This window comes from Homo sapiens, chromosome 2, assembly GCF_000001405.40.
Source record: "Homo sapiens chromosome 2, GRCh38.p14 Primary Assembly".
NCBI classification, from domain to species: Eukaryota; Metazoa; Chordata; class Mammalia; order Primates; family Hominidae; genus Homo; species Homo sapiens.
In genome coordinates this window covers 196,761,594-196,777,509 of record NC_000002.12, presented here as the reverse complement: position 1 = coordinate 196,777,509, position 15,916 = coordinate 196,761,594, and the positions used below count along the sequence as shown (strand labels likewise).

Genomic DNA, 15,916 nt, shown 5'->3' with positions numbered 1-15,916 from the left:
GTGCAGCGAAAAGGATGGAAAGAAGAAATGCTCACAGAGACTTGTTTTCACGTTCAAATGATCGCATGTATTGATTGATTGATTGACTGATTGGGTGTAAAGTTTGAGAAATAGGGCCCAGTAACCTCACTCTGAGAACTTATACTCAGGAACTAATTGAGTGGGATGAGAGGAGGTAGTTTCTATTGGGGATCACAAAACTTGGGAGCCTGGCAGGTAACAAAAATGAGTGAAGTGAGAGAGAGAGAATACTAGGGAGAGGTGGAAACTGAGGAGGCCTTTCTAAAGGGCACTTTCTCTGCATGGACTGATGTGTCATGTGGGAATGGGGCACCCACTGTGGCCAAATACAGAACTTTCAAAAGAATCCAATACCCTGGATTTTATTAAAATCCTAATTTTAAGAAATGTAGGATGTTAATAGTTTTTAAAAGCACTGTGAGCTAATAAAACATACCTGTGGGTTACACTGGTCTGCCGATTGTGTGCTCTGGTTTATATATGTGAAGATGTTTACTGCAGTATTATTTATTAGAGTAAAAATTTGAAAGCAACCTAAATGGCAAATGATATAATTACATAATCAGTTTGATTATGTAACCATTCAAAATGCCAATGAAGACAGTGTTTAAAATGTAATGCTCAATGAATAAAGCAGAACCCTAAATTATATGTATACACTGATTACTCCTTAGCAATTTAAATTTATTAGATCGATTGATTAATAGAGATTAGGGATAGTTTTAAAGTACTAGAAATACGCATTCATTTCTTGTTATAATTTTTTATATTGCTATATTTCTTTTAAAATGGAAGAGTAATTGTGGCCAGTTTACAAATCTGTAGTTCATACTTTTGCTTTATTTTAACATCATCTTAGAATGTTTAAAGGCCTTAGGCTATATGGAGCGAGCTGCTGAAAGCTATGGCAAGGTGGTTGATCTGGCCCCACTCCATTTGGATGCAAGGATTTCACTTTCTACCCTTCAGCAGCAGCTGGGCCAGCCTGAGAAAGCTCTGGAAGCTCTGGAACCAATGTATGATCCAGATACTTTAGCACAGGATGCAAATGCTGCACAGCAGGTGGGCCATGTCACATAGAGGGAAGTTTTTCTTGGTATATTATATTTTAGAACTTTCTCCTCCATTAAGGATGTCTCTATAGCTTATATCCAAAATTTTATTTTAGTGTATTCAAGTTTTTGAAAAATGATTTTAAGTATTGGATTTCAGCCACTGGTTGGGTTACAAATTATAGTTTTAAAATATTGGCTCTTAATTATTGTGAAAGACCATAAAGCAATATGGTTTGTTTTTTTAAAAATGTTTCTATGCAAATAAAACAATTTGTAGAAAAGGAATCTTGTTAGGCTCATCATCATGTGCTTATTTGTTTAGGAACTGAAGTTATTGCTTCATCGTTCTACTCTGTTGTTTTCACAAGGCAAAATGTATGGTTATGTGGATACCTTACTTACTATGTTAGCCATGCTTTTAAAGGTGGGTAATGATCTTTCTTTATGTTAGCCTTGTTGACTTTTTAAATGTTTAGTATTTCATTTAAACATAGATTATACTACTTTATAATTGTTTTTCTTCATTAAACTCAAACTTTTAAAAATGAAAGATAAAAACAAAAAAGCTAGAGGTTATTGGTATATGACTGAAAGTTCTTGACAGTAGCTTAAGTGAAAATCTTCCCTAGTACATATTTAGAAAAGTGAGCACCATGGTCTATCAGATATTGGCCCTGTGGACAGTACTATGTGCCAAAATTACTCACTTTGCAAAAGTATTTTCCAGATCTAATATTCTTTCCGAGTCCAGCTTATTTGCAGGGAGGTAGCTCTGTGGGTGTATCTCTGGGGATGTGTGTATATGCATGTTATAATGTTAACGTGAATTGCCTTTTTTCTTTCTGAGGTGAGGAATGTGACCCAAAATTCCTTTGGTAAGAGAAAAATAAGTCAGTTCATTCTAATTTTAGTTTTTTAATATAGTAATTTGGTTTCCTTTTTTCTTACTAAGGGAGCTTTCAGTCTTGTGGCACCTGTGACCCATAGGTTTTCTTTAAAAAATTATTGTTTAGAGCTGGGTATGGTGGCATGTGCCTGTGGTCCCAGCTACTTGCGAGGCTAAGGTGAGAGGATCACTTGAGCTTAGGAGTTCAAATCCAGCCTGAGCCAACATAACAAGACTTTGTCTCTAAACAAAACAGTTATTGTTTAAAGAATCTGAAATCTTCATCTTTAATTCAGGTAGCAATGAATCGAGCCCAAGTTTGTTTGATATCCAGTTCCAAGTCTGGAGAGAGGCATCTTTATCTTATTAAAGTATCGAGAGACAAAATATCAGACAGCAATGACCAAGAGTCAGCAAATTGTGATGCAAAAGGTAATAACTTCATTTGCATTATGTTATATAAAATTTGGCTGAATTGAAAAAGACTCATGAAGTAACACTGGACAGCAATCTAATTGAAAATATACTTTTCAAATAAAATGAAATTTTCCAATCTAAATCTCTCAAGTGTAATAAACTCATTCGATGTTAAAAAGGAAAGGCTAAATGTAAATACTTTAAATTAAAAAAAATTAAAAGGAAAGCATCTGCTTGGATCTGTGAAAGAAGTAAAACAAAACTTTGACTTTTTAAAAAGAAAATATATTTTAAGAAATTTGTGAAGATTAGATGACAGTATAGATGATTTGTCCAGACTTCACTTATATATATTCCATTCTCTATGAAATAATTTTTAACAAATGTAGCAATAGTCATAGAAACTCTTTGAAAATAAGTTGCTGTGACCTAGTCTCAAGTAATATAACTTTAAAAGACTACAGATTCTACCTCTGCAGCTTGTGTTTTTAACCATGTTTCCTTATGTTGTATTTTTCTCCCTGTGTGATCTGCCTGTTTTCTTTCAGTGATTCCTCACTGGAGGTCCATGGTTAGTTTTTCTTAGGCTCATAAGGTTTTGTTGTTTTGTTTTGTAAATTTTATCATGGTGAGGATCACATTACACTGGTGTACCAGGATAGGATGAACTAAGCCTTTTTATGTTACATGCAACTTTGTACTGTGATCTTTTCACTTTACATTTTCTCATAGACATTTTATCATGTTGCTCTGTTCTCTTCATAGTTATATTTAAGGAATGTGTAGTATTCCATTGGATAGTGGTTCCATAATTTAATCATTTTCTTATTTTTTGGCATATGGTCACTTTTGGCAGTTTTATAAGCAGTAATGTAGTAAGCATTTTCATACATACAGATTTGTCCATATTTTGTTTAGGATAGATTCTCAGAAGGAAAATTATTGGATCAAAGACAGTAAAATTTTTTATGGCTTTTGATATTCCTTAAGGGCTATCAAAGGGAGGCTTTTTACAGAGAACTAAGGAAGAGAAGGAGGTTGTTAAAGAGACTTGAGATCAGAAAAAGATCAAGAACAACTTGAATCTCAAAGTATGAATTTGAAGTATTTTGCTGAGCAAACATTTGAATGCCTGTATGTACGTAATCCTCTATCACTGGGGTCCCCAACCCCGGTACCAGCCCGTGGCCTGCTAGGGACTGGGCCGCACAGCAGGAGGTGAGCAGTGGGTGGGCAAGCGACCATTCCCACCTGAGCTTCCCCTCCTGTCAGATCAGCAGCAGCGTTAGATTCTCATAGGAGTGCAAACCCTATTGTAAACTGCCCATGCGAGGGATCTAGGTTGCACGCTCCTTATGAGAATTGAATGCCTGATGATCTGTCACTGTCTCCCATCACCCCCAGATGGTACTGTCTAGTTGCAGGAAAACAAGCTCAGGGCTCCCACTGATTCTACATTATGGTGAGTTGTACAATTATTTCATTATATATTACAACAATAATAATGGAAATAAAGTGCACAATAAATGTAATGTGCTTGAATTATCCTGAAACCATCCTTCTTAGCCCTGGCCCATGGAAAAATTGCCTTGCATGAAACTGGTCCTTGGTGCCAAAAAGGTTGGGGACTGCTTCCCTATGGGATTACAGTCATAGAAAGTATACTTGTTCTACCCTGGAGGAGATATATCTTAGCTAGCAAGGAGAAATGCAGATGGAACTAGCTGGAACTTGTAGAGACCAAGTCCGAATCAGGTGCCTGGGAATGCAGATTGTTAAACTGGCAGAGAAGAAGCGGATAGTATTGAAGGAGTGTAAGCAAGCAACTACCCCTTCTCATCTTTGTCCGGAGAGCACTGGCAACAATTTAGGCTCATGGTTATTAAACTTGTCTTAAAATTGATGATGTGAATTTTTCTAATACTGCTATTTCTGGAAATACAGTGTCCTAACTGGTTTTCATTGGTCTCATTTTAGCAATATTTGCTGTGCTCACAAGCGTCTTGACAAAGGATGACTGGTGGAATCTTCTGTTGAAGGCCATATACTCCTTATGTGACCTATCCCGATTTCAAGAGGCTGAGTTGCTTGTAGATTCCTCATTGGAATATTACTCATTTTATGATGACAGGCAAAAACGCAAAGAACTAGAATACTTTGGTCTGTCTGCTGCAATTCTGGACAAAAATTTCAGAAAGGCATACAACTATATCAGGTGATTTCCCAGTTATTTATTTTAATTAGATTCTTTAATAGAGTAAGTACATGTACTTTGATTTAGAAGCTACTTTACTTTTGGCTCTCCCATTAAACAATAAACTGGTTAATTGGTGATTCCCAGAGGCAGTATATAAGAAGATGCACTCTAGGACCAGACTTTCTGGGTTCAAATCCCAGCCCTGACGCCTACTGGCTGCGTGACCTTAGGCTAGTTAGGTAATCTCTAGTGCCACAGTCTTCCCACTTATAAAAGGATATCATAATACTGCCATCTCATAGGGTTATGATGAAGGTTAAAGGAGTTGTTATGCCTTTTTAATAATGCCTGGCAATTATTATTATTATAATTATTATTATTATTTGAGATGGAGTTTTGCTCCTATTGCCCAGGCTGGAGTGCAATGACACAGTCTCGGCTCACCGCAACCTCCGCCTCCCAGGTTCAAGCGATTCTCCTGCCTCAGCCTCCCAAGTAGCTGGGATTACAGGCGTGTGCCACCAGGCCCAGCTCATTTTGTATTTTTAGTAGAGACGGGGTTTCTCCATGTTGGTCAGGCTGGTCTCCAACTCCCGACCTCAGGTGCCTCAGCCTCCCAAATTGCTGGGATTACAGGCGTGAGCCACGGTGCCCGGCCAATGCCTGGCAAATATTATGAATTGTTATTCGGTACTGCAGCTATAGTGGGCAAGGAGAGAAAAAGTGAAACCTAAACCACTTGCTCCTGTTTTAGTTTAAAAGTTTTGTTGAAAGTAGAAATAAGATATAGAAACACTAACTTAAGCAACATTTTCTGGGAAAAATCTTTTATTGCGTAGGAGAGTTTTGCTTTAAATAGATTGAAACTATCTGCTTTTCCTTGTTGGAGGATGGTACATTTCAGTGCTGGTAGGACAGCACTGAAGGGTTTCATTTTTAGAAATCAGGAAGATTTTTACATTATTTTCTCCCTCACCCTCTTCCTGCAATTTTAGGATAATGGTAATGGAAAATGTCAATAAACCCCAGCTCTGGAACATTTTCAATCAAGTTACCATGCACTCCCAAGATGTACGACATCATCGCTTCTGTCTCCGTTTGATGCTGAAAAACCCAGAAAATCATGCCCTATGTGTCTTAAATGGACACAATGCATTTGTATCTGGTAGTTTTAAGCATGCGCTTGGTAAGTGTCCTGGCACGTGACTTTGTCAAGCATAAATAGTGTGGTGAAGAGCCTAGCCTCTGGATTGGAACTGTCTGGGTTAATTATCAGCCTCACTGTGACAAATTATTCTACCTCCTCCTGCCTCAGTTTCTTGATCTCTAAAATGGAGATAATAATTGGACCTACTTTGTAGATAATTGTGAAAATTAAATGAATCAATATAAAGAACTTAAAACAGTGCCTGGCACATATAGTAAGTGGATATAATAGCAAAAATGATAATTACTAATATTAATATTTGTTATTCTTACTAAGCTTTGGTTGTAAAAGGCTGACACAGGTCTTATAAAATTCATTTTAACGGTCAACAATTCTCCCTGCTTAGGCCTATTTATTTTTAAAATGATTTTCATTAATTATGGATGCTTTTGCCACCTGATTTTAATTTGCCATAATGCAAAACATTCAAGATTTGCTGAAAGTTCATTCCTTCAGGAGCTAAATCTATATTAAGATTTATTTATGTGGTGGTTACTAATTCTAATTAAACTCAAGGAAACTTCATTAATCATTTATAATAAGGAATTTCTGTAATAAGGAATCAGAAGTAAACAAGTATTACTTGCAGAGTCTCCTTTTAAAAAAAAATTAAAGAAGAAGCAAACAAGTAGAAAAACATCTAACTAACTAAATGTTTAAACTTAAAATTAGGCATGCATGTCTTACTACCTAAAAGGTGGTGTTGCCAGATTTACTTCTTATGAGTAAACTATGGTTTTTGGCTATTTGATACGTTCATGATTCCTTGTATATGGCCCGTATTTTTATCATCGTTCATCCAGTAACCTCAAACATCAGATGTTGAAACATTCCTCTTTTGTGTGTGCTTTGTGGAATTGTTTTATATTAAGAAAATAAAAATATTTTATTTTCCTATATTAGAAACTTTTACAAAAGGTTAAAATGATAGACAAATGGCAGTCTACCATCTTTGCTGCCTAAGAGATTCTGTGGTGCCATTCCTTCCAAAATAGAAGCCAGAAGGAAGAGAAATTTTCATCTATATGTGATACATTATATGTTATTCCTTTATGAGAAAAACTTGCTTAAATACCCCTACTGCATATGATTAGGCTTTTGACAAGAGATGATTGTATATATGGAATACATGTAATTCATAAAACTCCAAATTCTTATTCTGTTATTGGATACATTTAGCTTTCTCAGAAAAAACAAATAATTGCTACATTTGGGAAAACAACACCTGTAGTCTAAAAAACAAAACAAAGCTTTCCTCTTCTCACCTCCATGATCCACCACATTTGAATTTATAAAACAGATCAGTTGATTCTATAAAAATGTTCACCAAAACACACCTCCTCCATTCTTTTCAAACTAGATTTAAGGTCATAAAATAGATTTAATGATTGCAGCTGATAAATTGTTTATTTTGGAAGTATTACTTTACATGGAAATGTCTAGCTGTGCCTAGAAAAAGTTAATTTAGTTCCTCATATGAATCTTCATGGTCAGCATACATTCATGGGGAACTTGTTTTATTTTATACATTGTTTTAAAATTCAAATTAATAGGTCTCTGGTTGCTATTTAAGATAGAATGTCCACCTTATGTATGTTAAAATCAGTAATGTTTGGCCTTAAAAGTGTTGAAGAAATAAATAACTCTGTTCTTGTCACACCGTCTGACACCACTGCTTATTTTCCAGGACAGTATGTGCAAGCCTTTCGCACTCACCCTGACGAACCTCTCTATAGCTTCTGTATAGGCCTAACCTTTATTCATATGGCATCTCAGAAGTATGTGTTACGGAGACATGCTCTTATTGTACAGGTAATTCATTCAAATTTCTCGTTACTTGATTTTATGTTTCTTAAAAATGAATATACTTAATACTTTTTTTAAAAATCCTGCTTCAAAAGTAATACACAATGCTCTCAGTACACATGACGGGGGTCCCCAACACTTACCCCAGTGTTCAGCACTCAGCATATAATTATACTCATGATTAAGACTTATTACAGCGATATAGTAAAGGTACACAGCCAGATCTTTAGGGACAAAGACACAGGCAGAATCTGGAGGAATGCACTGGCAGGCTTCCTTATAGTCTGGTCCTCAAGGTCTCTAACCATCTGAGGTACTGAAGATTCACTTAAAGTAGTTGAAAAAAAAAATTATACAATAATATGATTGTGCCTGTTTCCTTACACCATCACCAACAAACTGTCCTTTTAAAATTTTCTTTGTGGTTCTTATAATAATTTGAAATTATGTTTCTTGTTGTCTACCTTAATGGCTTGTCTCTTCTAATAAAAGTATAAAGTCCAGCAGATCAGAAATATTGTTCACTACTTTGCCTTCAGCATTTTCATTTCTGTGACTTCATTTTTGTATGTTTGATGTTTCCAAAATATGATATGGTATAGACATGTCTTTTATTAAGTAGTAGGTGAGAAAAGAAAGAAAATGTTGACTTGAATGGAGTTGCAGGGTCTAGTAAGGGGCTTTTTGTTTCTTTTAAAGTAAAATGGTTAAAATAAAGCCTGCATTAAAATGGTGATAACAGTTGAAACTAGGTATGAGTTCATTAAGGTGGTCTCTTTACTGTTGTATATTTGAAAATTTCTATAATAAGTTTTTTAAAAATCCTGAAAAACAAAAACTTCTAAATTTTTCCTTTTTTATATTCTTATCTACCTTTTCCTCAAAGCTTCTTTTTCTTCCTTAATGGATACTATTTGCTGTACTAAGTAATGTAGGATTGTGTATAAATTAAACGTAGTGCTCATTGTGTGCCAGGAATCGGGGACGTAGCAGTGAGTAAGTACACAGATGGAATTTCTTGCCCTCATAAAATTCTGGTAAAAATTGATAGGAAAATTTTATGGATTAACTCATTAAATATGTAAAATATGTAGTTTTTGGGCTTGGTAGGACAAAAATTCATGTACTTCAAAGTAATATGGAAGCTAAATTTCAAATTACTTTTATAGTTAAATAGGAGGTTTCAAGTGGTTGGAGGTAGAGATGAAACAAGAGGTAATGAGAATATGGAAGTTCATTGGACTAATCTCTTTTGTGTATGTTAAACATTTTCCATAAAAAAAGTTTCTGAGAAGCAGGTTTTATTGTAAATAGCATCATTTCTGAAACTTTTAATTTCTCTTATTTTTCTTTCTTCTTGCTACAAGACTATAGTTTTCTATTATACTACCTAAAAAAATTTTTTTTATGGTTTATTATCTTTCTTACCTTTATATTGTATTAAAAGTAAAATCGTCAATGTTTCATTACTTCTACTTTTATTTAATATTGTATAGACAGTGAGTACATTGGGCCCTTTAGTGATTAATTTGATTTAAATGTTTGAAATGTAACATAATGTCAAAAGAACTCTTTTCTTTTCAATTTAAACTGTGTGTTTTTGGCGAGGCACAGTGGCTTACACCTGTAATCCCTGCACTTTGGGTGGCCGAGGCGGGTGGATCACTTGAGGTGTCAGGAGTTTGAGACCAGCCTGGCCAATATGGTGAAACATGGTCTTAATAAAAATACAAAAATGAGCCAGGTGTGGTGGCGTGTGCCTGTAATCCCAGCTACTCGGGAGGCTGAGGCAGGAGAGTCGCTTGAACCCAGGAGGTGGAGGTTGCAATGAGCTGAGATCACACCACTGCACTCCTGTGTGATAGAGCAAGACTCCATTTGGGAGAACAGAACAGAATAGAACAATAGAATTTGTTTTGCAGTTTTTAAATTTGATAATTCACAGTACCTACAAAGTGGCTACCCACATTGGCTAGTTTTTAAATCACTAAATATTATTTGAATAGTCTTTCAGGTTATCCTCTTAAATTTGTTAAACATTTCTTAAAGGGCAGCAAGTTATTCCATTATTGTATTAGGGGACCTACAGGTTCATTTGCATTACAACAATTCATCTGAGATTACTATTCCTTTTTCCTCATATTTTTATCTTTAAATTTGTCATTTTTAACTATGAATACTTGATATTTCTTTGCAGTCGAATAGTCTGCTGGTACTTAAGAGAGCTGTGTCTTTCAGTGGAATAGAGGTCATAGTCACACAAATAGGTTATTTTATTATGCAGAAAGTATGATTTGTATACTGAACACGAGTATTACTACCCCTAAAATGCATTCATTTAAAATAATTCATTTTTATTATTTACCTATTTATAAAGGAAAATTTGTGACCACTTATTATATAGCAGATCATCTAGAGAATAATTACATTTTATATTCTATATTCATAAATTGATTTATTCTTAATTATCTGGTAATATATTTGATTACTTAATTAGGACTCAGACCTTTGCAATTTGTAATTTCAGTGAATGATAAAAGCTGAAGCTCTATTAAAAGGGAAAGTGAATATGGGAAGAGGTAAAGAAACAAGTTGCTTTTTGGACTGTGTGACCCACAGGGAGCCAGCGTCATTGTAGCTGTGCTCTGAAATAGTTTCTCCATAGTCTTTGAGTCAGAAGCTTTCAGGAGAAAAAAATCCAGTTTTTTTGGGTTAAGAGGTTATCAAGGTCCTGAGAAGTAACTTATAAAAGGTAAAATTTACCCTAAAAGGTTAAGTATACTCAAGTGAATTTGCTCCTGAGAGGAAACCTTTGTACATTATCATTATTTTATATCTTGCTCAATCTTTTAGGCGTCAATCTCACATCAAAAAGTTTATTGGCCTATAACGGCACAAGCCAACTTCAAATTATTTTTTAAAAGTTTTGTGTATTTGTAGATTATGAATCTCTGGTAACTACTTGTAACATTTGGCTCTGTTTTCTGTGAATATTTATCCCTAGCTAAAAAAAATTCTTACATCTTCAGAAGAGCTATAATGTTGACACCTAACTACACTGTAATACTACACAGTAATAGGACACTAAGCAGATAGATAGGTTTTTAAAAAATATTTGTATTTTCAGCACCTGGTAATACAGTGGTCTAGTACATAATTGTCAAATCAGTGAAATATTGAATTATCTTTTTCTTTTTGGTTAGGGCTTTTCCTTTCTTAATCGATACCTCAGTTTACGTGGGCCCTGCCAGGAATCATTCTACAATTTGGGCCGTGGCCTTCATCAGTTGGGGCTGATTCATCTTGCAATCCACTATTATCAGAAGGCCCTGGAGCTCCCTCCACTTGTGGTAGAGGTATTGTGCATTTTTAAAACTGAGACACTTCATTTCATCTGTCTGTAGATAAGGGCAGTTAGCTAAGTCCAGCCAGTAAATTATAGCTCGTATATTAAAATGTATTTTCTCTTATTCAGTATGTTTACGTAATTATGTTCAGGAACAGGTACCACTTCGACATCTGAGCCTTATGACTTGACCAGCAACCATATGAACATATACAGCTTGTGGCTGTGAGCATTTTAGTTTCCAGGGTAGTTCCTGTGCTTTACAGACAGGAACTGGTAGACGTAACCTCTGAATAGTGAAGAATATTGTGACTGTTTCCAAGTGTAATTCACATGTTTCTTTATAAAGATGAAAGACCAGTATTAATGTAGCTTTTTTTTAAGATAGGGTAAAGTGTTGCCAATACTATGATGATCTGTGTTTAAAGTCTGATTTTTATTTTAAATCCTGAAATATGTTAATTTTTAAATGTATTTTAACATAGCACTGTATTAGAAACAAACTTTTAAAACTCATAATCCCTCCTGTACTCCCTCACAATTTTTTTTTTTTTTTTTTTTTTTGGAGACAGAGTCTTGCTCTGTGGCCCAGGCTGGAGTGCAGTGGCACGATCTTGGCTCACTGCAAGCTCCGCCTCCCGGGTTCACGCCATTCTCCTGCCTCAGCCTCCTGAGTAGCTGGGACTACAGGTGCCTGCCACCACGCCCAGCTAATTTTTTGTATTTTTAGTAGAGACGGGGTTTCACCATGTTAACCAGGATGGTCTCGATCTCCTGACCTTGTGATCCGCCCGCCTCAGCCTCCCAAAGTGCTGGGATTACAGGCGTGAGCCACTGCGCCCGGCACAATTGTTTTTCTATTACTGTTCAGTTTAAACAAATGAATATATATTTTATAGTGATGCTGTTTTTATATATAAATTTACTATTTGAATATTTTATACATATTTATATATGTATTTCATACATATTATTTATATATGCATATGTATATATAAAAATAGGTGTATACGCATATTCATATATACATATTTATATATATTTTTATATGTATAAAAACACTATTGTTTACTCACACCATTTATTAATCTTTGCATTTAATACTATAGTCCTGTCAATATTACTGGAGGCAGTTTTCAAATACACCTAAGAGATTGTTTATTAAAGGTTGTTTATACAGTGTTATTTCATAAATATTGTTACATCTTGTTAATTGAGCTTTATAGGTATCATTTTTAATTGTTGCAGATTTTTTTTTCAGTTGACCCAAAGTTTTTGTATTGGGGAAGATTAGAAACATAGGTCTAATCTAGTCCATTGAATTCATTGCATTGTTATGTATGTGGGAAAAACTATAATACCCCTGAGGTAATATTGGAGTCAATTTGTTGTATCCCTCCTAAACCTACACTTTATATGCCTTTCCGTGATAGCATAGGAATTGTTTTCCCATTGGCTCATTGGTGTTCATTTAATACTATGTTATTTTTACACAGAGAAGTTTTTTATGAAGTCATACCAATCTTTCCCTTTATAGTTGCTACTTTTGCTATCATAAAAAGGACCTTTCCTATCCAAGATTATATTATCCCATTGTATTTTTTCTTTTATGGTTTCTTTTTTAACTCTAAAATCCAAAATTCATCTGGCGTTTATTCTGCCGTAGCTTGTGGGTGAGACTTTAAATTACTGTTAAAATATTTGATGATGCTGTTAACTGAATCAGCATTGATCCAAGGTATATGCATAGTTTTATAATTTTTTTTTAGTACATGAGCTTTAATACCTTTTGAAAACTTACTTACACTTATAAAACTATTAATTTGCCATAAAATTGTCCCGGTTGACAGTTGGAAATATTAAACATAAAGGTATCTTTTTCTCCCTAGGGTATAGAACTTGACCAGTTAGACTTACGAAGAGATATTGCCTACAACTTGTCTCTCATCTATCAGAGCAGTGGGAATACCGGAATGGCTCAAACGCTTTTGTATACCTATTGTTCTATATAAAGCACCGCAACTGAGAACAGAGCAATGGCAGCTGCTGTGTGAGGACCAGTGTCTTCTGTCTCAGGGCTTATTATTTGTAACTCCAAAATAGAAATGACAATTTCAGAATTACCTAACAAACAGTGTATTTATTTTTAATATGTGATAATGATCTTGTGGTATATATGCAAAATTATTCCTACAAAAATTTGTATATTGGTCTGTCATTTTCCTTTCACATTCTATAGTGAATTGTTCCCAATGTTGAAATGGACGTGTAAGCCTTTGAGCTAGCTTGGAGTCGAATACACTATTTTTCACTCACACCATTTATTCATCTTTGTATTTAATACTATAGCTCTGTCAATATCACATGAGGCAGTTTTTCAAATACGTATAAACAGAGGTTGCTTATTATTAAAGGAAAGACAAAGTGGGACTCTTTATGATGTCATGACCATGATAACTAAGCACCTAAGAAAATTATTTAAAATAGTTATGTGGTAGGCAGAAAGACAAATAATTTAGTTTTTTACTTTTCACCAGCATGTATCTTAGCTACCTAAACTGAAACATGGGAGGCTGGGCTTAATTCAAAATATATTGCTCCAAGGCAAATAAAAAAATGCTTTATCTATATTTGTGGCTTTCTGATGAAAAAATAGAGAAGAGCTTGTTCAATAACAGGACATGGTTTCCATTTCAAGATCACAAGTAATATAAGACTGGGCAAGTAGTACGTATGGAATAAAGGACATACTGCTGATTGATAAAGTAAAAAACTTTTTTTTTGTTTGTTTACTCATCTCCACTATTTATTATATGTTCTTGAATTTAAGTTAACAGTACTTTTTAGATGATATACTGTTAGCTTAATAACAACTTTTTAGGGAAAAATAAATGCTGTAATTAATGTGCACATGGGTTAGTAACACCCAGCCCAATTGTGGGAGGGAAACAAGTAGAGGCTTAGGATCAAAGAAATAAAATTGGGACTTATTAGAAATTCTTACCACTGTTTCTACTGTACACAAAACTTTCTAGTTGAGCAGAATTTGTATGCAATAAGTAAATATATTGTATACTCCATGTGTATAATTTAAATGCATTTTATTTTTATAATTGAGGTTAACTGTTTCACATGCTTAATTTTTACTTTATGCCATTTATAGGTAATGGTAGAGGTAACTGAGATACAGTAATAAGTTAGACTTGTGTGTTGGAATTCTGTGGAACTGAGCATTCTGTGCTCCGAGTTTCTCTCTTAAATTAGCTCACTGGACTGTGGCTCCAGTGTCTACTAAATAGCCGTGGAGGAAATAAGTCTCCCTAAGGGAAAAAAAAACCAGCTGATATTGTATAGTTTTGTTTAGCTTTTAAAATCATAGCTTCCATTTGCTGAGTTTTTACTCTGCTACTGTATGCTAAGTATGGTGCTAAACACTTTGGATATGTTATCTCTGATTCTCTCAGGGAACTGCAAGGTAGTTATTATTGATATTGTCATCACCACTTTGTATCTAGAGATTAAATAGCATGTTCAAGATCACTAGTAAGCTGCTCCTTGCTCAGAGATTTTCCTTCAGAAGAACACAGTTGCTGTAGTTCAGAGTAACAACAAACATTAAGCATAAGGTTTGTTTTTTTTTTTTCTTTTGAGACGGAGTCTCACTCTGTCTCCAGGCTGGAGTCCAGTGGCATGATCTCTGCTCACTGCTACCTCCACCTCCCAGGTTCAAGCGATTCTCCTGCCTCAGCCTCCCGAGTAGCTGGGACTACAGGTGCCTGCCACCACCTCCAGCTAATTTTTGTATTTTTAGTAGAGACAGGGTTTCACCATGTTGGCCAAGATGGTCTCGATCTCTTGACCTCGTAATTCGCCCGCCTCGGCCTCCCAAAGTGCTGGGATTACAGGTGTGAGCCACTGCACCCAGCCAAGCATAAGTTTATTTTAGAAAGAAAAAAGACATTGGCAGTGTTTCTGTCTTCCAGGCCTTCAGCCCATCAAAGCCCCTGTATAAAAACATCTTTTGGGGTCTCTTTTTAAAAGCTCCTATTCTCTTACCTCCCATCCTCACCTTAGCAGTGGGGTCCTGGTACCTGTTTTATGCACTGAGACTCTGCTGCTCCTGCATGATCACAGTTGATCGAGGAGGGAGTCTGCTCCTGAACCAACCTGGGCCAATCAGGAGTTTCCTCCCGCCTTCCCTGGGAATTTCAGACTTGAAATAGTTCATGTAGGGCCAGAACTTCAGAACAATGAGGCCAACTAGCAGTTAACCCGTTCTGTTGAAAAAAAAAAAAAAAGTGAGGTGTCTGCATTAAGAGAAGTAAAGATGAGCGAAGGAGAGTTCTCTCTGAAGTCCCAGAGATTTCCAGTTTTCAGTTCTATCCTCAGGCCAGCTGCCTTCTTACCCTTGGATTCGTTCTAGGAGATAGCCTTGATTCTGTTATAGTTTCCACTTTAATATTTACACCAGCTTGGGTTTTTCTGTTAAATGCACATACAAAAAATTTTGACCTGATCGACCACCATTCCATCTTTCTTTTAATTTAGCATTACTGCTTTCTAGCCATTTTCATAGGAAGAAAGTATAAAGCAAACAGAAATGAATATAAAAATTTGTTGCTGAATTACAAGTAGTGTCACGAAGTCTAATCCACAATAAACAGGCTTTTCAAAATCATTCAGAGCAAGAACAGGAGGAATGTTCCTGCTGTGGTGTTGTAAAGCTAATAGTATTATAATACTATAGTTCATATTGAAAGAATATATACTCCAACATAATACTGAACAGGGTAGGAAAGGAGTTAATGGCCAAGATATTGGGTGAGGATATGAGTAAGGGGGGACTAGAAATGAACTGCATCTCCAGGCCCATAGTCCCTATACTAATGGCTATGCTATGAAACTGCAAATTAGAATTTTGAGGCATTCTCAGAAGAAAATGACCAAATGAACTGAATTTTTTAAGTGGGCAAAAGGTGGA

General features: G+C 35.4%; 1 protein-coding gene across 2 annotated transcripts in view; it reads left to right on the top strand.

The window, feature by feature from the left end:
* Positions 1-14,475, top strand: part of GTF3C3 (general transcription factor IIIC subunit 3) — a 36,649-nt gene extending 22,174 nt beyond the window's left edge. For both annotated transcript variants that reach the window (NM_012086.5, XM_005246965.5), the window contains 8 exons: positions 881-1,083; positions 1,399-1,500; positions 2,259-2,394; positions 4,357-4,594; positions 5,572-5,762; positions 7,471-7,595; positions 10,793-10,945; positions 12,825-14,475. In NM_012086.5, coding sequence (NP_036218.1) covers positions 881-1,083; positions 1,399-1,500; positions 2,259-2,394; positions 4,357-4,594; positions 5,572-5,762; positions 7,471-7,595; positions 10,793-10,945; positions 12,825-12,947 — 1,271 coding nt within the window. In that variant the 3' untranslated portion in view covers positions 12,948-14,475. The remainder of the gene's footprint in view (positions 1-880; positions 1,084-1,398; positions 1,501-2,258; positions 2,395-4,356; positions 4,595-5,571; positions 5,763-7,470; positions 7,596-10,792; positions 10,946-12,824) is intronic.